The sequence below is a fragment of the Homo sapiens genome, chromosome 8 (assembly GCF_000001405.40).
Source record: "Homo sapiens chromosome 8, GRCh38.p14 Primary Assembly".
Classification (NCBI taxonomy): Eukaryota; Metazoa; Chordata; class Mammalia; order Primates; family Hominidae; genus Homo; species Homo sapiens.
The window spans coordinates 34,689,555-34,691,396 of NC_000008.11; positions in this window are offsets into that span (position 1 = coordinate 34,689,555).

The following is a 1,842-nucleotide window of genomic DNA, read 5'->3' on the forward strand; positions in this document are numbered from 1 at the left end:
GCTGCTGATTTAATTTTCAACAAAATTTAAGAGTGATCTCAATGCTCCCAAGTAATTAAATACTTTTTTGTATTCAGTTCATTCTCTCAATCACCGAAGTGACTGCATCTCATCTCTCTCTAAAGTTCAACAATCTCTCCTCTTCCTCAATCTAAGTACCCACAATGATTTTTGTTTTACTGAGAAAATAGAAGCATGTAGAAGAAAACTTCTACATATGCCTCCTAAGAAATCTGCCAAAATACATTCTTCTGTACCAAAAATTTTGTTTTCCATCATGTTATAATGTATAAACTATTCTTGCTTTAATCTAGGTCTAACATCTTTCCCTTTCTTGAATCTACTCACACATTATAAAGGTCCAGTTTTTTTTGCAGTTATATTCTTTCTTTTGTTCATCATCATTTTTTTCTGTCCGTCTCTACTGGATAATTTTCATCAGCACATCAACATACCACTGTACATTTAAACATACATGTTCCTCTTTAAACCATATTTAACTGTTTCATTTTACTACTCCTCATTACAGTGAAACTGCTCAAGAGTTCTCTGCATCTTCTGTATCTAATTTATTTTCTCTCATTATAAGTTGAAACCTTCTAATCAGGTTTTGGCCCCTGACTTCACCCCCAAAACCAGCATCAATAAAGTCATAAGTTATATAGGCACTGAAAAATTTATAACAATTTTAAAGTTTACATCTTGGTTAGTCTGTGTCATTTGACGTAGTTGTTCAATTTATGCTTCCTGAAAAATGTCTACACCTTCGCTTCTGGAACATCTCTTGTGTCTCCTAATTCGCAAGCACGTCATTCTCAGATTTATTGGACAACTTTCCTTTCCATCTCAACCTCTAAATGTTTGAGTGTCCCAGGGTTCACTTCTCATCAATCTTTATTTCTGTGTCTGCATTCATTTAATAAGTGATCTCACTCAGCCTGATGGTCATAAGTATCCATCTGCCTGAGGATGATTCAAAAGTGTATATTTCTGTCCATCCTGCTTCTCTGAACTCAATGTTCTTTTGTACAAGCACCTATTCAACAATTCCACTTGGAAGTAAAATAAATAACTTAAATTGTTCAGGTCTAAAAATGAACTTTTGTTTCCCCTAGCATGTACACATTGCTTCCCTCTGTATTTCCATAACAATAAATGTTACTTTTATTCCTTCAGATGCTCAGACACAAGTCTTTGAATTAATTATTTTTGAGAACCCCTGTGGTGTGAGTCTCACAGTGTGAAAAGAAGGAATTAGCTATTGTACCTGTATTACTAAATGTTTTTGCATTCTTTAGTCTTCTTCAACCCAAGTCAATTCTGAACATGTTTTAGATTAGACTTCTAAATTCACAATCTTCAGAAATTCAATGGTTCTCTCTTACCTAGAGAAGGAAACGCCAGATTTTAAAATACTCATTCAAGGTTACTTGAATGAGTAACCTTACTCCAATCTTCCCTGTAAATTTCATCTCTACATTTTATGAACCTTCTATTTCTACCAAATATTCACACATGCATGCTTTCAACTCTTTTGATATTCTGCCCTGTTTTTTCTTTTCTCCCTTACAATGCCATCTTTTGAAATCTCTACCAATAATACTCTTAGTTTTTCTTATAAATATATGCTTTAAGTCCCAGCTACTACCATTTATTCTCTGTTAAAACTCTTCAGGTGTCTTCTGGTTTCCAAAGACGTGATTTTCTTCCTCTGAGCTTCTCCAAAGTTCATTCTGCATAATATTCATAAAGTACATAATGTATTATATCACTTATATACATATTTACATTTTTTAATTAAAATTGCCTAAATACTTGCAGGTGAAATTGTGACTAATAATT